The 22,803-nt window shown below is 47.4% G+C and overlaps 1 protein-coding gene across 5 annotated transcripts in view, besides 2 other annotated features; it reads left to right on the top strand.

Moving 5' to 3' along the window:
* The window catches only part of DSCAML1 (DS cell adhesion molecule like 1), a 389,743-nt gene that overhangs the window by 38,752 nt on the left and 328,188 nt on the right, over positions 1-22,803 (top strand). For all 5 annotated transcript variants that reach the window (XM_011542918.2, NM_020693.4, XM_011542917.3 and 2 more), the window contains one exon: positions 1,826-1,972. In XM_011542918.2, coding sequence (XP_011541220.1) covers positions 1,826-1,972 — 147 coding nt within the window. The remainder of the gene's footprint in view (positions 1-1,825; positions 1,973-22,803) is intronic.
* Positions 18,628-19,127: an enhancer, noted in NCBI's record as "H3K4me1 hESC enhancer chr11:117630351-117630850 (GRCh37/hg19 assembly coordinates)". NCBI's record gives its function as "activates a minimal SCP1, AML or CMV promoter by ChIP-STARR-seq in naive H9 embryonic stem cells {active_cell/tissue: H9 hESC(naive)}" and the evidence as "EXISTENCE:reporter gene assay evidence [ECO:0000049][PMID:30033119]".
* Positions 19,128-19,629: an enhancer, noted in NCBI's record as "H3K4me1 hESC enhancer chr11:117629849-117630350 (GRCh37/hg19 assembly coordinates)". NCBI's record gives its function as "activates a minimal SCP1, AML or CMV promoter by ChIP-STARR-seq in naive H9 embryonic stem cells {active_cell/tissue: H9 hESC(naive)}" and the evidence as "EXISTENCE:reporter gene assay evidence [ECO:0000049][PMID:30033119]".

Below are 22,803 nucleotides of genomic sequence, written 5' to 3'. Positions count from 1 at the left end.
GCTAAGGGGAAGGGACCATGTTTCCTGTCACCTCCCCCTCATTGGGTTAGGATGCAGTTTTCACAGTAAGTCTATACATGTGTTTTCACAAATGAAGAGATTAAAACAAAGAGAGTTAAGTCACTTGCCCAAGGGCACATAGCCAGTTAATCGCAGAGGTGCAGCTATCATGAAAAGTGACATTGCCAAAGTGCTTTCCTTGGGCTGGGCCTTTTATACGCTGCTCTTATGGTGATTTCCTTTCATAAATGAAGAAACTGGGGCTCCAGAAGGTTAACCAACCCTTGTCCAGGATCACACAGTGGGCCAGTGGAGGAGGCAGGGCCCGCTTGTTAGATGCCGTTAGCCATTAACCTCTGCTGACTCCCTGGGACATCACAGGTGGCGTGCACCCCAGCCCGCTCTTTCCACTCCACCACCTTGCCTCCCTCCAGGGTCCATTCCCCTTGTTCTCCTCTGTGCTCTCCCATATCTGGAGGCAGGGCTCTGCCCAAACCTTTGGAAGGGCTGGACCACAGATCCACAGAGCCACCAGTGCCTCTCCTCTCTTCTCTTTCTTCCACCTCAACCACATCTTCTCCTCATCACAGCCACAGCTTGGAGAAGGGGAAAGAATAAAGGCCGAGGGAGGGCCGGGAAGAGCCAGGCTGACTGGAAACACAGTCAATTAAGAGACTCTTGATGATGCCAGAGGGGCTGCAGGTGCACAGTCAGGGGGTGGGGATGGGCTGCCAGGGCCCTAAGTGTCACCCTGGCAACCATGGCAGGGAGAGGAGGAGGGCACGCTGCCCAGGTGCCTGCTGAGGGACAAGGTCGGGAGGCAGCAGGGCTCTGGATGTTCCAGCTTTGCTTGGCAGATAAGGGGGTGGAAGGATCAAGCGAGGCCTGGGAGAGGCCAAACAGAGGAGGACAAGGCAGAGGCAGAAGCCTTGGTCCCATTCCTAGGGCTGGGTCTGCCTGCCTGTAGGGCCAGACACATACAGCGGCTGCAGTTGGCAATGCCCTAGAAGCCAGCTGAGGCAGGAGGTGGGCACGGTGGGGGAAGGGATGGTTCTGAAAGCAGGGGCAAGTCTGGGGGTCAGGGAGGGGTGCTGTAGAGGCTGCAGCCAGGGTCAGAAGCAGGAAGAAAGCAGCAAGAATGCTCTGTTTTGGAGAATCTTGGAGACTGTGTCCATGTCTCTAGGATTCTGTGTGCTCAGAGACAATCGTAGTCCCAAACATTCTCTCCCTTTGTCCTTGTAAGCTCAGGATCTGAACTACATTTCCCAGGCTGCCTTTCATGTTGAAGGAGCCCAAAACTCAATTGTTAGAGCATGTGTCACAGGTTTTGTTTGGGTGCATTATGGTCACTGTGTCCAAAATAATTGCCACCCTGGGTCCAGCAATAATGCAGGAAATCCGGTTTGGTTTTCTTAGGGGAATTCTAGCATATTTCCTTATTACCTGCACATCCCCTTGGTGAATATAACATTGCAGGGCTTAGTGCTGCCCTCAAGGCTTTTACAATCTAATATGACTTGCTAATACCGAAATGGGAAAGGTAGGAATTTGGATGGATGGTCTTGCAGAGGGAGGCCAGATATTTTTGAGGGAGAAAAGGCTGCCCAGTAGGATGGGGAGGAGGTTGATGGAGAAGGAGTTGCCCAGACAAGAACAAGATCATGGCAGGGGCTTCTAGGCTGGCTAAGCAGGATGGGGGAAGGAAGAAGTGGGAAGGTGAGGCTGAAGGAGCAGAGGGAGTTGAGCTGACTCCCTGTTCCTTTCTGGGGACCCTCACCACATCCTTGTGACACTCTTCTCTTCCCCACTGCCAATCTCTCTGCAGTTTTCAGGGAACCCTACACCGTCCGGGTGGAGGATCAAAGGTCAATGCGTGGCAACGTGGCCGTCTTCAAGTGCCTCATCCCCTCTTCAGTGCAGGAATATGTTAGCGTTGTATCTTGGGAGAAAGACACAGTCTCCATCATCCCAGGTAAGAAGCGTCCCGGGGCTGCGGCAGACAGAGGTGCTCCCTCTGTGGGGACTGGATAAAGTAGAGATGCCTGAGCTGGTTGTTGAGCTCAATAAGATCTTGAGGTTGGCTCTGGGGAGTGACTTGTTATTGTTCTGGTGAAGCTTTGGCCAAAAAAAAAAAGTCTTTGGTCTTGGTCTGGCACGTCTCTCTGTGGGGTGTTGAAGACTCACACACTGGTGGTCTTGACTGGGTCTGTGAGGGTCCCATCAGACACCAAGTGCAGTGGAAGCCCCATCCTTTCTGACTGCTGGGGCTTTGCTTGACCCAGCCCTGAGGGACGGGAGGCAAGGCTGGAAGCACCTTACCTGCGAAAGGTGGCAAGGGGAGGAGGAATGAGAGGCGGGTTTGTGGTCTGTGTTCCTGCGTCGTGTGACTAAAACAGTGAGCACTGCCTCCTTGGAGGACCTGACTTCAGGAAGCATGTGTATGGGGACTTTCCTTCTTCCCTTCTTGAATGAGTTGGCTAAAGACTCCATTGGAATTCTAGCTGGCCTCGCATTGAGGCTGATGTTGGGAAATTGGGTTCATACCATGTTGTGGGTTCATCTCATCACAGCTGCCGTGATTGTGAGTCCCTCATTATTGGCTCCTTTTACCTCTCTGGGGTTGTGTCAGCCACAGGAAAACAGGTATAGAAGCCCCAAGAGAGGACCTTGGGTCTTTAAAATACCTCTAGGCCTCCATTTACAAAACTGCGGGATTTTTCCACCACCCATTTCTTCATCTCCGCACATTGCAGGGGTTCTGCTGCGTTTTCTTCCTTTCTCTACCCAGGACCTTTGTTTCCCATGCTGTAAATTGGAGCAGCTTGACCAGGTGATCTCTGAGTGCCCTTTCAGCATTAAGGTCTCATAACTGATTGTTTGAAATGATTCTTGTTCCTCAAGGTTGATGATTTAGTTGGGGAAGATAAGACTTCTATTCATGGAACCTGTAAAGCAGGGGTTCTTAAGCCTGCTACCCATTTAAATCCCCGAGGAGCTCCTTTAGAAACACCAATGCTTAGCCCCAAATCAACTGAATTAGACTCTCCCAGGAGTAGAGCCTGGGCATCAGCCTTTTCAATGCTCGCTAGGTGGTTCTGATGTGTACCTAGGACAAGAACCATGCTCTGGCGTGTTGACAGCTAATGCAGCAGGAGACTTTCTTTGAGACATTAATTTGCCTTTTACACTCAGTACTTTTTCCTTCTCTCAGTTCCAAGCAGATGGCCAGGCCATTATATCTCCTGACTTCAGAGCTTGTAGCAGGATGGGAATTCGAAGCTCCTGGAAGACAGCTGCTCCTCCTGTCTTTTGTAAAACCATAGGCTAATAGCAAAGGTTAGGAAGGGTGTTTTGTCTGGGGAGGAGAGCCTCTGAGGGCAAGGAACAAAGAGGAGATGAAAGGATGCCAGGGATGAGGATGGTGCTGAAGGCTGCTCCATGGACGCAGCCAGAAGAAGCGGTTGGACCCCGCAGGGGTGGCTGTGTGGGGTCCTGCAGGGTCTGAGGCTGAGTCCAGGGTTCTTGGGTTCAAATGAGTCATGAGGTGCACAGCCCAAGAGCCAAAGCAATCATTCAGGCAGGGACCATGGGCTGGTGAGGAGCAGAGGTACCTCGGACCTTGGCATACCCTGGGAGAAGCCCCAATAATGTTGGGGACAATCTCCTGCCTATCTAGCAGAGTCAGATTTAAGGTGATTTAAAGAACATAAAGAAATGTGGTATTTCTTATATACTTAAGTTTATAGACTAAGCATTACATCCATTAAATAATGATAATTATTGCATTAAAATTTGGGGGGTGCTTACTATATCCCAGGTACAGGGCTCAGAAACTTCCATACAGGATCTCTTTGTATCATCACAAAAAGTCCGTAAATGTGTTTTCCCCTCTCCACTTTACAGAAGAGGAAACTGAGGCTCAAAGAAGTAAAGTACCTTCTGAATCACACTGAGCAGAGGGTGGGGCTGGAACCAGAGTCTGTTTTTTCAACCTGTGTGCTTAACCCCACACAGACGTGCCTCACCCACCGTATAAATGTATCCAATAAAGTGTTACTCTGGCTACAGTGGAGGCTTTAAATGTGTACTGTAGGCAGTGAGGCCTTTGGCTTTAGGAAGGGGAACAAATTGATGTGGGGATGGCTTCATGGAACCAAGTGCAGTGTGGTGATTAAGAGCCTAGAATCTAGGACCAGACTACCTGCATTTAAGACTCACTCCATTGCTTACTAGCTGGGTGAGTCATTTACCCCCTCCATTTCCCCACCTGTAAAATGGACTCATAGGGTTCGAGTAAGAATGAAATGAATCAATATATGAACAATGTCTAGAACACTGCCCGACAGTTGCTGAGCACAGGTTATTGCGATTATTAGGTGGAAGAGAGCATTTGCGCTTGCGGTTTGCTGCAGTGGTGTGTGTTTCTGGTATGGAATGGTGTCTGTGTTCCCCACACGACTGCAGTTCCCACGGGCCGGAACTGGATTGTTCTCATCCACACATCTCCACTTTCTGCACTCAGGGTAAATAAAAGCTCACTAAATGATCAGTGAGTATATGAATGGATGGCTGGAAGAATTCCAGAGGAATCTGGGGAATGGCATGGACAGAGACATGGAATAAGACAGCAGGCTGGGCATGGGATGGGGAGAAGACCAGATCAGATAGGAGAGAAGGAAGGTTAACTGGTTCCTGTGCTTAGGAGCTGGAGGCAGGGAGCTTCCCCCAGGCGGCCCCTGTAGTTGGTGCTTCAGGGCTGTCTTTGATGTCAAGACTGGGCTGGTGGCCCCATAGGGCATAATTATCAGGAAAGTGGCCTCGATGCTAATCTGCAGGGCTGTGTTAAACTTCGGTTTTGCAGAACCCCTTTCTTTAGTTTGGCATTGGAGAATTTTCCTCTCCTGGCCCAGCCCTCCAGCCCCATCTATAATCATTCTAGATCATTCTACAGCTACATGTTAGATCCGGGGCCAGTCTTCTCCAAGTGCAGAAATCCAACTAGCATGATCATGGAGGACTCCATGAGAGCCAGAGAGAGTGGAGTTTTGTCTTGTCCAGGCTCTGTAGGTGCAGGACCAGAACTTGGGCCCACATGCCACATGCTTTAATTTTGGCAAATGAAAGTAGTTCGATTTTTTATAAAAATAGGATTTTTTTCCACTAACCATATTCACACTATGCCCAGTGTGTGTGCTGTGCTGTGTGTGTGTGTGTGTGTGTGTGTGTGTGTGTGCATTTTGAGGTGAGGAGGCTGGATGGCACTTCTCATGGTAGGGGAAGATTACATGGCAAGTTGCCCTGAAGGTTAATGGAGGATGGAAGAGCCAGGGATACTTCCCTCTGACACTTCAGGATCAGCTTCCGGAGCCAGAGGAACTGTGTTGACTTTGATTTCTGGATCTGCAGGGCTGGGCTCAGCTTCACAAACCACAAGTCCAGCAGGAGCTGGAACACAGAAGGAGCAGGGAGACTGGTGTGGGCCCATCAGAGCCCCAGGAGGCATCCCCTTGGGGATGCAGGTGCCCTGGGAGGAGGGGGCCCTCATGTGGGTGCAGCCCCTGTGGATGGGAGCTGGCTCTCCCACGCCTCTTTCTGAAGGAGTCTGGGAAGAATTGAAGGCTTGGGACCAAAAACAATCTCCATGAATTGGGTGCTTACTCACAGGTTAGCCTTCCCGGCTATCCCTGGCTATCCTGAAGCTGGCCAAGGAAACTCTCACCAGCTTTTTGGCTGTGCTTTGCCCAGGGCAGGGAGAGTCTGGAGAAACAGCCCAAAGTGCTACCCTTTAGCCACCTACTATACCCGCCTCCACTCCCTCAAGTGGGTCATCTTTCCATCCGCTGTTTAAAGATGTGTGTAAAGCATAGAGCCTCTCACTTTGTATCTGGCAGACTCCCACCCTTGCTTCTCTCTCCAGGGAACTGATCCTGGTGTGAACTGGCTCTCCAAGGCTGGCAGGGTTGGGGTAAGAGGGCCAAAGGCTGTGCACAAACATAAATTAAAATTAACGCCTCCAGTGAAGCTGAGATGTGGTTTAATTTCCCATCTGCATGATCACCATTACAATACATGTTATTGGATATAAAGATAAATCTGGCCCTGTTCCTAATAGCTTTTAATTTCCACCAGACCTGATTATATCAATGTGGGCCCCTTGTGGGAGTCTCCCAGCATGCTCTTCCCCAGCATCCTGACTGGCTATCTTGGCCCCAGCGGGGAGTTTGGGACACTGCTCAGATGTGGGCCAGATGTGTCTGCTGCTGCTCAGGAAGACAAGCCTGCATCAGCTCCTTTGTCCATGCAAATGGGGATACTGAGTTGTCACCGTGCCTTGCCAGGCTGAAAGTGCGCTGAGGACACTGTTTATTGTGGGTAGGGAGACACGGGCAAGGACGCCTCTGGCCAGAGGGGTCCTGTGACATGAGAAAATGTCTCTTAGTGTCATATAAGGATTCCTATCAGGCAGTGCTTCCTCCCTGCAGCCCACCTTTGGCCAAGAGAGCAAAGTAAACTACCAGCCTCCCTAGAATAATGAACTCCAGAGTTCCAGGGTGCCAAATGGGTTTTCATAGCTCTCATTCAATTCAGCGATCTCTTCTGCCTGGGGTACAGTGGCCCCCTCCTCTCTCTGTTGACACCCTGCCCCTCTTTTGTCCCTTACACTTCGTCCACATGCCCTCTTCCACGAGGCCAGACATAGGCCTGCCGGGCAGACAGTACTACCCTGGTTTCATTCCTGGAGCCCTGCCTTCATTCTGTCTTGCGTCCTAGTCCGTTATTTCTATCTGTCTGCCGCAGGAGGGTGTACAACTGTATCTTTCATCTTTTTATCCCCAGAACCAGCATAGGACTGTCACAGAGGAATAATAATAATAATAACAAGATTAATGATAATACCTATGCTGTATGGAGACCTCTTTTGGGTTAGGCATTTTATATATATTATCTCTAATCCTCACAATAACACTTTAAGAGAGATAATGTTTTTATGTTCTGTTTTTGTTTTTATTTTCTCATTTTATAAATGAGGATGTTGAGGCCCAGAGCAGTTAAGCACGTTACCCAAGGCCACACAGCTAATAAGAGATGTGGCCCGGATGTGAGCCGGTCTTCCGGTTCCTCTACTTCCCGCCGCCTCTCTGGAGCAGACTGGGAATCATTAGGAATCGGGTGTCCTTAGGTTTCCACATAGGAGGAGGGCCCATCTCTGTCTCCTGCACTTGCCTGGGAACAGAAATCTGCCACCAACCCTTGTGCTGACCTCTGGCTGTGTGTGCAGTGACCAGAGGCTTGGGCTCCTCTGAAGGGCAACAGATCTCCAGCTTAAAGACCAGTGAACGAAACAGCCATCCTAACAAGAAGGCTTTGTTGGGCGCTGGCTCTGTTTTTGGCCCCATGGGAGACACAAAGACTGTCCTAAACTGGGAATTTAGGATTCAGCTCATGTTGTCGGCTCTGATGGACGGGGATGGATAATCTCAATACAACAAACAAATGTGATCTTGGTTTGGCTTTGGAATGCAAATTCAATTTATTAATTACATTTCGTTCAGGCTGACATGAAGGTCACTTCTTTGGCTCCCACGAATCTACACCAACTCGAATGGGAGATGGGCACAGAGAGGGGAGGTGGTGCCGGTGCTGGAAACCAGTTTGGGCCACATGTAGGCTATGAACATGTGGAATCACAGACTGAGAGCTGGAGAGTGCCCTGGAGACTGTGTCATTCAGCCTCTGCATTTATGGATAAAGAAACTGAGGCCTAGACCAATGCTGTCTCCTGCCATCTTCTCTCCTCTCCTGCTCACTCTCAGGGCACATGATTTTAACTACTCATGGGGCACCTTTGTATTTCACTACAGATACCAGTTATTTTTCCTCCTTTGTCTGTCTGAAGCCTATGCATCTTTCAAAGTCTGGTTCAAATACTACTTTTTCCATGATGTCTTTCCTCGATTTCTGCTAAGAATGGATTTAAAAGTCACCCAGATTAACCCACTCCAAGGGGCTCCTTTTCTGAACTCCCTCCAAACTTTATCGGTTCCTTGCTCAAGACGCTAATCGTACTTTGTCCTGTATTTTTTTTTTTTTAGGTCTGTGTTATCCCCATTACAGGAATGTATAATCATCAGGGGCAGGATTCATATTTTATTCAGACCTCTCTTCTCTCCAGTGATTAATGGTGATGACAAAATGACAGTCTCTCCCCTACTGAACCGTCCTGTGGAATGGAGGACACTGGGAGACCTGCCTAATGTCCCGTGGCAAATCGGTGGCATTACCAGTGTCTAATCTTGGTGGTCCTTCACCTCCATAATGCCGAGTTGCTTCTGTGTGTTCCTCTTGTGATTCTCTGCTGTTCAGATGTAGAACTGGGGACCTAAGCTCTTAACTACTTATGAGTCTGGAGAAAAGTGGCTGGGATTGTCACCCTGCACTAGTGGGAAATAGATGATAGATCCGAGGCAATTCAACAAAAGGAGCTTGGACCCCTGCTGGGTGCCAGGCACAGTGCCAGGCCTTGCAGAGGAGTCCAGGTTGGCCATGATCTGTTCCTTTCCTGGCTTCTGTCTTGGGACTATAGTGTCTTCCCACAAAGAGGAGGATACCGCAGGACCACTCTTTCTGCTGATGGCCACACAGTAAGGCATGCTGAAGGAGACGGGCCCTCAAGTCAGGCCCTGGAGTCTGTGACCAGGTCAGAAGGGCAGAGAGAGCACTTTAGGTGGAGGTGACAGTGCAGGCACAGGCAAATGGGCAATGAAAGGCTGGGGTGATCTGGGAACATGGCTGGAGGGTTAAGAAGAAGTGGTGAGAGACCTGAGAGGTCACTGGGCCATTTAACTCATGAAGGTACTGCCTAGATCTAGGGAAAAAGAATAAGGGACAACATGATAATAATGACTAATATTTATTGAGCACTTACTAAGTTGCCAGGCTCTGTTCTAAGCGTTTGACATATTTAGCTTGTTTCACCTTCTCAGCAATCTGAAGACAAGGGGACTTTTATTCCCCCATTTTACAGATGGGCAAGCTGAGGCACAAAGACGCTAAGTAAATTGCTTAAAGTTAGTAGGTGGTGGAGCCACAACTTAAACTTATGCATTCAGACTCCATCATCTGTGCTCCTAAGTGCTGGACTATATTATCTCCCAAAGAATTAACATACTATATATATATAAAAAATATATAATATATATAAAATATATATATAAAATATATAATATATATAAAATATATATAATATATATAAAATATATATTATATATATAAAATATATATTATATATATAAAATATATATTATATATATAAAATATATATTATATAAAAATATATATAATATATATAAAATATATATTATATAAAAATATATATAATATATAAAATATATATTATATAAAATATATAATATATATAAAATATATATTATATATATAAAATATATATTATATAAAAATATATATAAATATATAAAATATATAATATATAAATATATAAAATATATAATATATACATATATAAAATATATAATATATACAATATATATAAAATATATAATATATATAAAATATATATGTATAATATATATAAAATATATAATATATATAAAATATATATAATATATAATATACATAATATATATAAAATATCTATTATATATATAAAATATATATTATATATAGATTATATATATATTTTTTTGAGATGGAATCTTGCTCTGTCACCCAGGTGATCTTGGTTCACTGCAACCTCCACCCCCCAGGTTCAAGTGATTCTCTTGTCTCAGCCTCCTGACTATCTGGGATTACAGGCACACACCACCACGCCTGGCTAATTTTTGTATTTTTAGTAGAGACGGGGTTTCACCATATTTTAAAACTCCTGCAAATCAACAAGAAAAAGACAATCCACAGAAAGTTGGGTAACAGTTATGAGCAAACAATTCACAGGAGATATAGTGGGATGTGTTGGAAAGAAGACAGGCTGTGGAGTCTGCTAGTCTTAATTGGTGACCTTGAGCAAGTTACTTCCAAAGCCTCAGTTTAATCATCTATAAAATGGGAATGATAAAACCTATTGCACATAGAATCCTTGAAATAAAAATTGGGCCTCTGAGGAGACTCAAATTCTTAGATGGGAAAGGAGTCACCTAAATGCATCAGAGAAATTGCCCATCTAGCTTCATGCAGTTGTCCAACCTTAGACCTCACCTCCCTCGCCCTGTCTTCTCCATCATCTGGCATCATTACTCACCACCTGTGCTCCCCTTTCTGGGTGCTGGGCTAGAGGTGGTAAGCTAGGGGCTGCAGCCACCCAAAGAGGTGGTGGTCCTGGAGTCACAGATGGAGAGTGAATCCACCTAACTATGATCTTGAGAAAGCTACAAAGGACTGTGCAAGATGGATCACCACCATCATGTTTTTATCTCAAATATTCCATGATAATAACTGAATAGAATGACAGAAACAAAGTGCCTAGGATGTAGTATTAATCTCTAGATTCACTAGTACCTTGCAGGGTACCTGATAAACATTTTCTGTTGAGGGAAGGAATGGAGGTGCGGTTTTGTACCAACATAGTAAATAACTCCACAAACTGCGGGGTGTCTAATTTGCTCCAAGTGCTTAAGCCCTGGTTCAATAATAACTATTGTCTCTCAAATGATACAGTTTATAAAGTGCTTTCAGATGATGTCACTGGCTCCTCAAAACAGCCCCCGTTACCTTGCCCATTTTACAGGTGAGGACACAGAGGCAGTGTGGCTTAGTGACTTGTGCAGGCAGAAGAGGAGTGAGAGGGGAGGCAATAGACATGTATGAGTCCATAAGTGTATGTAGGGTCCCGCGGCAGGCACCTGCATGTCATCTCATTTAATCATGCTTGGAACCCTCGGAGGGAAACATGCTACCCCCATTCTTAGATGTAAAGAAAATGAGATTCAGAGAGGCTGAGCAATTTGCTCCAGGTCACACAGATTCCAAGTGGCAAGGCTTGGGCATGGACCAGAGCTTCTGTACCCAAAGTGCAACCTTCTTCCTTGTAACAGTGACTCCAGGCAGAGCGCTGTCCTAGGAACTCCCAGCAATTACTGTTTCCCTCATCAAGGCAGTCAGAGAGTGGAAAAGGCAGCTGGTCCTTAATTTGGCTGTTGTTTGTTTGTTGTTTGCTTTGGTGAGAAAGGAAGCCTCGGACTCAGACATCTTGTATTCTTCCTTGAAGTGTGGAGAAAATCCTACCTTCCAAAGCTGTTAAGCGTACGTTGCAGGTTAGTGATTACAAGAAAGCACTCGGAGGCAGCAATGGGATTCTCTCCCTAAACTGAGATGATACTCATAGTGGCAAGAATGGTTTGTAGGAAAATAAGTGATCAGTTATTGAGCTCGTCCGTGATAAGTGCTTTTCTCCATCATTTTATTTAAGCTTCACAGGTGCCCTATGTAGTCCGTATTATTATTATTCCCATTTTGCAGATGTGGGGCCTGAGGCACAGAGAGGTCAGCCTTCCCAAGGCCATACCCTGAGGAAATGACGAGGCAGAATCTGAGCCCAGGGCAGTTTGACTTCAGCTCTTGGAGATAACTTGGGCCACTTCTCCATCTGTGCCCTGCGGCCGGCATCACCTTCGGTTTGTATGGTGCTCTCCGGTTTATAAAGCCCGTTCACCGGCATCATCTTACTGAATCCTCCCAAACACATCTGCGGGAGACACAGGTTTAACAGACAAGGAAATCAAGGCTTGGGGGCACTGAGGGACCTGCTCAAGGTCACACAGCCAGGGAGGGGTACACCAGAGCTCTGGTTTTGATGCCTATGCCCTAGGAGCTCTCAAAGCACCCCCTCCCAGAGAACATGCCCGCAGCTCCCTAGAACTTCTTCCAATATCCCAGCAGGCGGGCTGCTCTGCACTTGCACGCCAGTTGGTTGGTTCCAGAACCATCAGCCACACTCCTCAGTCAAGCAGAAATGTCTCGTGTTCACAGGTGCCTCTGGCGGCGTGTGCATGTGTCATGTTTTGCTTTTCCATTTAGTTCATGGCAGGCGCTGCATTTCCAGAGCACCCCCTGGGTGAATTTCAGCAGATTTAAGACAATTGCAGGCAAACGCTCTGCCCCGGGATCACACCCTGGCGGTGGACACAGAGCAAGCAGCATTGTTTGGTTAAGTTGGCACCTCTGAAAGTTACCCTGAAATCAGAGCGGAATTCTTTATAGAAGGTTATCCTACACATAAATCATCATTAGACTACCTCATTTTTGTTTAATGCCTACCTAACTGTGCTGTAGTCTAAAAATGTGTGTTTAGTGAAGTCAAGGGTTGCAGGGAAATTATAGGGTTTTCAAAAACCCATTTGCTTTGCTGGTGTTCACATCAAAATCAATCTTGCTTTAGTTCTCAATCTCATCGCAAACATGCAGTATTGCTTGCCGAATTCTGGCATTTAATGTAGGGTAGCATTTATTCAGAAGAAGCCAACGGTGCTTACAGAATGGTAGAGCTATGTATAGATGGCACTTCCTGCCAAGCCTGTGATTTTGAACTCTGTTGTGTATCAATGAGAGCCAGAGCTGGTGGAGACGGTGCTGCGGTTCTGTGCGGAGGCCTGTGCTGGGTAACATAACTGCGTCCGCAATGCCACAAGGCTCACTGCATATGAGCACATAGTAGGCACCCAGGCAATGTTTGTCGAATGCCTAGAGGAAGGTTTAGCTGGGAAGGTGACTGATCCTTTAGATTAAGTTGTAAATGGGATGGATGAGAATGAAGGGGCAGGTGCGGTTGTACCTGTTTCCGTGGTTGCTGGAAAAAAGCCACCATCTGCTCCTGTTTTGCTCTGAAGAAGTGGGGCTTGCTTGGAGTCTCTTTTGTGATGAAGTGAAGCTGTTTAGAGAAGCAAAATCCTGTGGGCTCTGGCCTCAGAGGGAACTGGGTTCCAACCCTGACTCCGCACCTAACTTGCCTTCTGACCCTGGCCAAGGTCTTAACCTTTCTGAGCTGCACTTTTTTCAGTTGTGAGGATTCAAAATCAGGTACTTTCATTTTCTGTATAGAGAAAATACATTTTCCATGTATATAATGTATTTTTCTGTATAGATCTGTTTTCTACATGCAGTTTCTCTATGCGTAGGTTTTCAATTTTTCCTAGGGCTAGACAGACGCATGTCCACAAGCTGCCCCAGCATTAGTAGTCTTTGCTGTGCGGCCTGGGAGGTCTCTGTGAGGAATGAGAACATAGGTGTGATCGTAGGTGTGAGCATTTAGGAGGGCAGACACTGCTGCTCTTACACAGAGGGTCACAGGCTCATGGGACCTTCAGGGCTAAAGGCCTGAGGGCTAGATGGGGAGGATCCAGACCCTCATGGTGGGACAGAGAGGCAGGGACGCCCTTAATGTTACCCCCTAAGGCCAAAGCCCAAGCCTCCCATTACGCTCTTGGCTTTTGTGGTCCTGGCATCTTGCTGTGTGCAGAAGCCTCTGGAACTTAAATACGGGTCTCTGTAGCTGCCAAGCTCGACTTTCACAGTGGAATAGCAAGCCGGTTGGAGCCAGGCACAGAGCTTCTGCATCCCAGTATGGAGGGCAGGAGGGGCCCTGGGCCTGGACAAAGGCCTCTAAGGTTGAGGTGTTTCCTCTCACACTTAGTGACTCCTCCTCTTCACCTTTGGCTCAGAGCAGTTTGGGGCTCAAAGTATGTCTGAATACCCAAGCCTTTAGGGTCACAGGATCTGCCAGAATCCTGAAGAGACCGCTGAGAAGCAGACAACGGAATGGGAGAAGGGCCTGTCGAAGTGGGTGGCCATGAAGGCGGCCGTGCATGTGGGTGGAGTCTGGGGCTCTGCCAGGTGTGGAGTGAGCTTCATTCTATGTGAGAGTCTGGGGGCTTCTCTGAGACTTTGTAACAAAGGAATCCCTTCTAAGAGCGTGTGGCTGGGGTCCCTCTTCACCACCCCTCATAGTGGGACACAGGGAAAAGACTTGCACTGAGAATGTTCCAGATCCTGCTGCTACTGCCCAGGCCTAGGAAAGCCATTTTGCAAAGCCTGATGGAGCATGGTTGTACCCCAGGGCCTGCGCCCAGGAAGGGACACAAAACCACAGCTTCTGGTTCCGTCAGCCTGTAGCTGTGCCAGCCATGTCTGACATCGATGTCATCCCCTAAATCTATCTAAATGCCTAGGTTGGCATAAGCAACAATCCGTTGATTGGATTTTTAGTTCATTATTTAATTTAGCAAATGTTTTCTGAGTGCTTCCTGTGTGCGTGATGGGTGCTGTGTTATGTAGACAGTGATTCCCAAGGGTCTCTGCTTGAGGATCTCAAGGGATTTGGAGAAATTCCTCTTCCCACGCACCAAAGAAACTGATTTTAATTAAAATATATATGCGTGCATGTGTATAAATAGCATGCATGCATGATGTAATTTGTACATATTGAATAGGTACATAGATGTGTTCACACACTCATGCACACACTAATCTTTTTTTACCCTTGGAAAGGGGAAAGAGACTTACCTGTGTAGACCCCAGCAGTGCCCCAGAGCAGGGACCTAAGAAAGACGCCTTGGTGTTTTGAATTTTAGGGACAGCCTTGGATGAACCACTGTTTCATGAGCCCTGTTAGGGGTAAGAAGGGTGGGCAGAGGTATGGAAACATTTGGAGGCACCGTGCCAGCCTTCAGGGTCTAATAGGCAAGATGAGTATGGGACACAGGTGACCCCAACACAAGGAAACAACACAACACACAAGAGTGTGATGAGGGTGCAGGAAAGGAATCAAGTTCTTGGGGGACTGAGAGGTGGGGGACACCCATCTTTTGTGATTAGAGAAGATGCCCTGTAGGAAATGGCACCTCCCCCTGGGTCCTGGAGAAGGGGTCTGTTTTGGCAGGCTGAGCTCCTGCAGGGGAGAGTGTTCTAGATCTGCCAGCTCTCAAATTTAGAGTCCCCTGGGGAGCTTTCGAAAACCACCAGTGTCCAACCCTGACCCCAGAACAATTAGATCAGGATCCTTGGCAGTGAAACCCAGGCATCTGCAGTCGTTAAAGCTCCCTGTGTGATCCCAGTGGGCAGCTGGGGTCCGGGCAAGGGAGGCTGTGTCAGTGAACTCCTGGAGAGCTGAGAACAATGGGCTGCTCTTGGGGAAAAGCAGCCTGGCTGGGCTCAGGATGCATCACAGGTGGGATATAAGTGATGCTGCGTGAGTTGTATGTATCGAAGGGCAATGGGGAGCCAGTGAAGATTTTGGGTGGGGCATGGTTTGGAAGGAATTTTAGGGGTTGCTCTTCAGTAATCAAGGATGTTTCCAGAAAAGTGGAGGTCATCCCTGGCTTCAGCCTCCTGGAGTCCACGTCTCCCGTTGTTCTCAGCTCTCCAGGAGTTCACTGACACAGCCTCCCTTGCCCGGACCCCAGCTGCCCACTGGGATCACACAGGGAGCTTTAACGACTGCAGATGCCTGGGTTTCACTGCCAAGGATCCTGATCTACTTGTTCTGGGGTCAGGGTTGGACACTGGGGGTTTTCGAAAGCTCCCCAGGGGACTCTAAATTTGAGAATTTCCCAGGATTTATCACTGGGCATCCTTCAGGTGGGTGGGACCAGAGCTGCCTCCGTCACATACCCCACACTCCTGTCTTACTCCTGTGCCCCTCCTCGGGCTGCTGGCCCTAACCCCAGGAACCGGCAAGGGGAATGTGGGAGCTCACCAGAGTGGTCTGTGGGAGGAAGGACCCCACATGGCATACCCAGAGTTTAAGCAACGTGGGGATCTAAGGCAAACTAAATAGTCTCTCACTTTTTATAAAATAATAGTCAAATTTGTATTGTGCTTTTCTGTTTACAGCACAGTTTCATATATATTAAATTATTATTATTATTATTATTATTATTATTATTACTATTTGAGACAGAGTCTCACTCTGTTGCCCAGGCTGAAGTGCAGTGGCACGATCTTGGCTCACTGCAACCTCCACCTCATGGGTTCAAGTGATTCTCCTGTCTCAGCCTCCACAGCATCTGGGGTTACAGGCACCTGCCACCACACCTGACTAATTTTTGTAATTTTAGTAGAGATGGGGTTTCACCATGTTGGCCAGTCTGGTCTCAAACTCCTGACCTCAAGTGATCCACCCGCCTCCACCTCCCAAAGTGCTGGGATTACAGGCGTAAGCCACTGTGTCCGGCCCATATATATATAAAATTTGATTCTCATCATGATTCCATGTAGCATGGAAACAATTACCCCCATTTACAGATGAGCAAACAAAGGCCAGAGGCAATGGCTTTACCTCTGCAATTATTTCCAGACTCAGGAAAGGAAAAAAAAACTTATTGACAGCAGGAAGCAGGCACCAGGGGCAGAATTTATTCAGCTTCTGGACTGTGGACCAGACACTATGCCAGGCACTGTCACAGACACAACCTCATATTTTAAAGACAGAGTGTTTTATCTGTTTCCTCATGGTCTATAGCCCATGATGAATGGGAAAACACTTGGCCCGACCGGCAGACCAGAACGAGATAAATAAAACAATCACTCCATGTCTGCTTTATGAACTTATCTTGTCAGAGCCCTTTGAGTTGTTTGATCTCATTTTATACTTGTGACAGGTGGTGTCATCACTATGTTCAGATGAGGAAACTAGGGGTCAGAGAAATGTCTTGCCCAAGGCTAAGTAGCAGAGTGCGACTGGGAGATGAGATCCTGCCGCGTGGAGTGAGTCGATGCTGTACTGGTTGTTGTGTGGAATGTGCAGGGAGAATAAAGCACAGCACTTGCCATGTGCCAGGCACTGTGTGAATAGCTTGATATAACTGACTCTTTTAGTCTACCCAGTATCATTATAAGGTGGGTGGAACTGTTATCATCCCCACTTTTTTGTGTTTTCTCTTTTATAGACAAGGTCTGGCTCCAGCACCCAGGCTGAAGTGCAGGGGCATAGTCTCAGCTCACTGCAGCCTCCATCTGCCATGCTCAAGGGATCCTCCTGCCTCAGCATCCCAAGTAGCTGGGACTACAGGCACACGCCACCACACTCAGCTAATTTTTTAATTTTTTGTAGAGACAGGATCTCACTATGTTGCCCAGGCTGGTCTTGAACTCCTCGACTACAGTGATCCTCCCACCTCAGCCTTCCAAAGTGCTGAGATTATTGGCATGAGCCACCGTGCCCAGCCATCATTCCCATTGTACAGATGAAAAAAAATGAAGCACAGAGAGGTGCAGTAACTTGCCCAAGGTCACATAGCAGTAAGAATAAAGTTGGGACTCAATCCAAGCCATGTGGTATCAGAGCCCACTATCTGTCTCTAGGCCATCACATCTGGGGCTCCTGGTTCTTGGTTCCAGGGTCTTCCACTGGACTGAACTCTCTGTAGGAGGAGGAAGGGAGGAACACAAAAGGCAGGCCTCAGTCTGGGGGCTGGGTGTCCAGAGCTGAGGCCCTGGTCTGAGCATGTCCAGGTGTGAGGCCTCCTATGGCGGCCAGGTGTCCATGTGTGAGGCCTCATCTGGAAGGTGAGTCCAGGTTTGACGCCTTCTCCGGGGGCTGGGTGTCCAAGTGTGAGACCTCGTCTGGAAGGTGAGTCTAGGTGTGAGACCTCCTCTGGAGGCTGGGTGTTCAGATGTGAGTACTCCTCGGTGGGCTGTGTGTCCAAGTGTGGCTTCATTTTATCGGATGAGTATCCAGATATGAGACCCCCTTGTAGAGGCCAAGTATCCAGATGTGACCTCTTTATGCCCCTCTCTCCTTTGGATCATTTTTCTAACAGTCTTTGGCTATCCTAGAGTGTGGTAGGGATAGGGCTAGAAAAATGGAAAAGGGCATGGGGTTTCTACTTCCGGCTCTGTCTCTAAATAGTGTTATGACCTCTTTCTGGATGTCAGTTTCCTCATCTGTAAGTGAAGGGGCTGGAATAGATGATCCCTTAGGTCCCTTCCAGATTGGTCCAGTTTGACAAACTGTGCCCATGTGCCTGCATTACTCTGGGAACTTGGCTATGGTGACAGGTCTGTGCCCTTCAGGGGAGAGAGATAAGAAAGAGCTCAAAAATTTAAATTCCTTAAAGAAACTCACACATGTGCACAAAAAGACATGGACAGGATTAGTCATCGTAGCCATGTTTGTGATAGCAAAAAATCAGAAGCCAATATTGGCACATTAAATATGTTATACTCACACAATGAAATACTATGCTGCAGGGGAAATGCGTGAACCAGAGCTTTACAAATCAGTGTGGACGTGTCGATTGAAGAGAAAAAAGCAAATTGTAGAAGGATGCCATACATTATGGTGCCATTTGTACAAAGTTTGAAAACATGCAAAACAGTCCTCTGTATTGTTTCTGGATGCATACATATGTAGCAAAAGTATAAAAACATGCATGGAAATGATAAACACCATATTCAGGGTAGCGCTTACCTCTGAGGAGGAGGCGATGGGCTGGTGGAGGGAAATACAACTGTTTTCAGAATGTCTTCTTTCTTAAAATGTTCCTTCTAAAAACGATCTGAAGAAAATATGCCAAAAGAAACATGGGTCTCTTTCCATTATTTTTATGCTTTTCTGTATGCATGATATGTTATCATTAGAAAACAAACCATTTCAACACCATGTGCAAAGTTCTAGGATGGTGGAGGTGGACTTCGCATCCCACTATGATAATCTAGGGCTGGGGGAATGGGAGTGCGGAGATAGGAGGTTGTTGGTGAAAGCGAGGTCTGGGGGCTGATTCTGGAGGGCTATTGTTGATGGAGATGGGAGGGGTCAGGTGCTCAGCAGTGCCCTCTTTGCCCTATTTATTTCCTGCCCCCTCTTCCAGGGCCACCTTGAGCAGGGCTTGGTGCTCTCAACTGTTGTAAAATAACAATTAAAAGTGGTATAAATACAGGAGGGGAAGAAATGTGTCTGCCTCGGGATCCTGTTGTAATCTGTTTCCCAGTTTAATGAGGGCCTGGAGACTCAGCATGAGGCCACTGAAAATTAAGAATACTGGGAGTATTTATGGGGCTGCGAGGCCTTCTTTTTTCACTGCTCCCTGTAGCTGGGGGTGCAGGAGTGACCCAGCAGCCCTCTGTCCTCCCGTCCAGAGAGGGAGTCAGTCAGTATCTGCAGCCTGTAGACAAGAGAGTGGGCCTGCGGGGCAGGGATGGGTGGCCTCAAGAGGCCCGGATGATCGCCCTCATGGAGAAGCCTACTCCCAACTCCAGCTCACATTACAAGAGAAAGTTGGGAGTCGAGGTCATAGCCAATAGGGAAACTTGAGAGAGAAATGTGATCCCCTGCTTGCCTTCCAGCCCTGGGGACGAGGCCCCCCTCAGGGTCGGAGAACAGAGGGTGTCCTGGGCAGAGGGCGGGGCAGGGTCAACAGCTGCTGCCTTCTTGCTTTAGCTCTTAAAAGCACCTAGGTTTGTTCCAATGTATCCTGAAACAATGATCTCCCCTGTCCTGCCCCTCCTCTATTTCCCCCTCCCTCTTACACACCCAAGTTCACAGGTGGCACATGCAGGTGGTAGAATTGGTTTGTCAGGGCTATAGGGGGCCTTGGAAATCACAAAGCCTAATGCCCTGGGTATTTCTTATAGACGCCACTCACAGCCTTGATGGGACCGGGGACCCGGGTCTCAAGAAGCATCCTGCTACAGGGTGAGGGAGTCTGTCTCATTCTCAACAGGGTGGATTTGTATTGGGGTCCTCTAAGGTCTAGAAGTATCGCCAGAGTTTACAAAGAGGACAGAATTAGTTAATGTGCATATCAGCGTGTGTGTTTGCAAGATGGAGTTGCTACCTTGTTTATCATGGGTAGGCATGTAACAGACGATCTCCTGAAAAGCGATATATCAAGTCTCCTCCTCGATGGAGGAGTACTGTTTGTAGGGAACCCTTGAGGTGATTTTGGCAAGCAAACGCATAGTTGGGGACGCTCACATGCTGCTCGTGCAGGTAGGCCCCAGCATACCTTTTCTGGAAAGCATTTGGCAATATGTATCTGAAGTCTCAGATGTCCGTGTCTGTAAGGCTCTATCCTTAAGAGATAACCAAAGATGGCAATAAAGAGTTCTGCCGGCCGGGCGCTTTGGCTCACACCTGTAATCCCAGCACTTTGGGAGGCCGAGGTGGGCGGATCACGAGGTCAGGAGATCGAGACCATCCTGGCTAACACGGTGAAACCCCATCTCTACTAAAAATACAAAAAAATTACCCGGACGTGGTGGTAGGCGCCTGTAGTCCCAGCTACTCGGGAGGCTGAGGCAGGAGAATGGCGTGAACCCGGGAGGCAGAGCTTGCAGTGAGCCGAGATCGCGCCACTGCACTCCAGCCTGGGCAACAGAGCGAGACTCCGTCTCAAAAAACAAAACAAAACAAAACAAAACAGTTCTGCCAACTGCAATGTTATTTACAACCCTGAAAATTCAAATAAACAGAGGAATGATTAAATAACTTACGGTAGAATTTTTTTTTTTTTTGAGATGGAGTCTCACTCTGTCGCCCAGGCTGGAGTGCAGTGGCGTGATCTTGGCTCACCACAGCCTCCGCCTCCCACGTTCAAGCAATTATTTGCCTCAGCCTCCCGACTAGCTGGGATTATAGGCACCTGCCACCATGCCCAGCTAATTTTTGTATTTTGAGTAGAGACGGGGTTTCACCATCTTGGCCAGGCTGGTCTTGAATTCCTGACCTTGTGATCCACCTGCCTCAGCCTCCCAAAGTGCTGGAATTACAGGTGTGAGCCACCATGCCTGACCATTTTTGTTTGTTTGTTTGTTTTTGCTTTTTGAGGTGAAGTTTCGCTCTTGTTATCCCCGCTGGATGCAATGGCGCCATCTCGGCTCACTGCAATCTCCACCTCCTGGGTTCAAGCGATTCTCCTGACTCAGCCTCCTGAGTAGCTGAGATTACAGGCATTCACCACCACACCTGGCTAATTTTGTATTTTTGGTAGAGACAGGGTTTGTCCATGTTGGTCAGACTGGTCTTGAACTCCTGACCTCAGGTGATCCGCCCGCCTCAGCCTCTCAAAATGCTTGAGGTGATTTTGAGGATTACAGGTGTGAGCCATCATGCCCGGCCACAAGGAAATATTTTTAATGCATTTTTAACTTACAGAGAAAAAGATCCTAATATGATGTTAGGTGGAAAAATAATTGTGTGTGTGTGTGTGTGTGTGTGTGTGTGTGTGTGTGTGTGTGTGTATAGGCTCCTAATTGGTTAAAAATGCGTATGCTCTATACATCTTGTAGATGGATATCTTTTGTATTAGTACATAATATTTTACATATGTGTGGGGTACATGTGGTATTATGTTGCATGCATAGAATGTGTCCTGGTCAATGCAGGGTCTTTGGGATATCCAGCACCCCTTGAGTGTTTATCATTTCTATTGTGTTGGGATCCTAGATGGATATCTTGAAAGAAATACTTGAAGGCTATTAGTGATTGTCATGATTATTTCTAGATAGTGAGATTAGAGATGATTTCTGGCTTCTTTTCCATCATTTTCTAAATTGTCAAATATGTGTTAAGAAGATTAGATATGAAGTAGTTTTGAACACCAAAAAGTCATATTGAAGTGTAGGTACCTTGGCAAAGTAGCTACTACTTTTTCTTTTTTGCTTTTTCAGGGAGTCCTCTGAAGTTCCTTCTTAGATGGGGGGACTAAAATCTGCTTTTGTGAGATTCCACCCGTAGGTCCTCCTCCTGCCAACTCCCCACCCTGAGCTTCCACAGATGTTTCCTTCTGTCTCTCTGCACCTTCATTTCTTGAGGACAGTGCCCATCCTCTTCTATCTCCCACACCTCACCCTGGTGTCCCATCCTCCAGGTCAAAGCAACCCCAATTCTACAGCAATCCCACCTAGGATTCATTGGATCTGAGTTCATCCAGGGAGCCACCGCTGAGCGTGCCCTGTTGTGTCAAAGTCTTTCCCAAAGTGAGTGCCCCACACCACAAAAGGTGTGAGCAGAGGGCAGAGTGAGGCCATCACCCCCTCCTTGGTCTGAACGTGCTGTTTCCACCAGCACCATCTGGAACCGGGTTTTTCACCAGCTACCTCTCGGTGTTGGCTCTTTCTGATCACTGGCTTTTAGTAGCCCTTGGCCCTTTACCTAAATTTCTCAACTTTCTCATGTCTAAAATAAGAATAATAATAGTTTTCTACAACCCAGATAGCAATAGGATAGCCTCTGCCTCTGAGGAGCTACAAAAATTGTCTCTAGTCTTAGTTAAGCCCTGGAAATGTCCCATGTCCTTCCCAGGATGTCTGCAAGCTCGCAGGAAGATTTGTATTCTCATCGTGGTCGCTGGCTCTGGCTCCCAACTCTGCCGAATTCTGCTTCCTTGCTCTGAGTTTCACGGATGCTTCTCTATCTCTGCTCTGGTGCTGACCAAATGTTTCCTCAGCCTTCTTCCTGGTTTTCCCAAAAATCCCACCCTCACAAAGACCCACACATATCGTGCAGACCTTCCTGAAGGTTTTTTGGGAGGCCAGATAATGTGGAACACAGAAAGGCATCCCTGCCCCTAAGAGTCCACTGGGCACCTGCCATGTTGAGTGACCTTCCTTCCTGTCCCCAGCTCTGAACTGGGGCTGCCAGGCAGCCTCTGTGCCCCACAGAAAAGGGCCCTGAGCCACTTTTCTTTTTTCCACTTCCTAAATTAATCTTCCTAACTAGGGAGAATTCAGAGGGTCTTTCAGATCTTTCACACAATTTCAGGGAGTGTGTTGATGTGTGTTTCACATTTAATCATAAGAAAACTCATGGCAGTAAGCTTCCGCCTCTTTTCCTCTGTTGGTATTACCCGACAG

This window comes from Homo sapiens, chromosome 11, assembly GCF_000001405.40.
Source record: "Homo sapiens chromosome 11, GRCh38.p14 Primary Assembly".
NCBI classification, from domain to species: Eukaryota; Metazoa; Chordata; class Mammalia; order Primates; family Hominidae; genus Homo; species Homo sapiens.
Note: the sequence above shows the minus strand (reverse complement) of the source record. Positions and strands in the feature narration are given on the sequence as shown.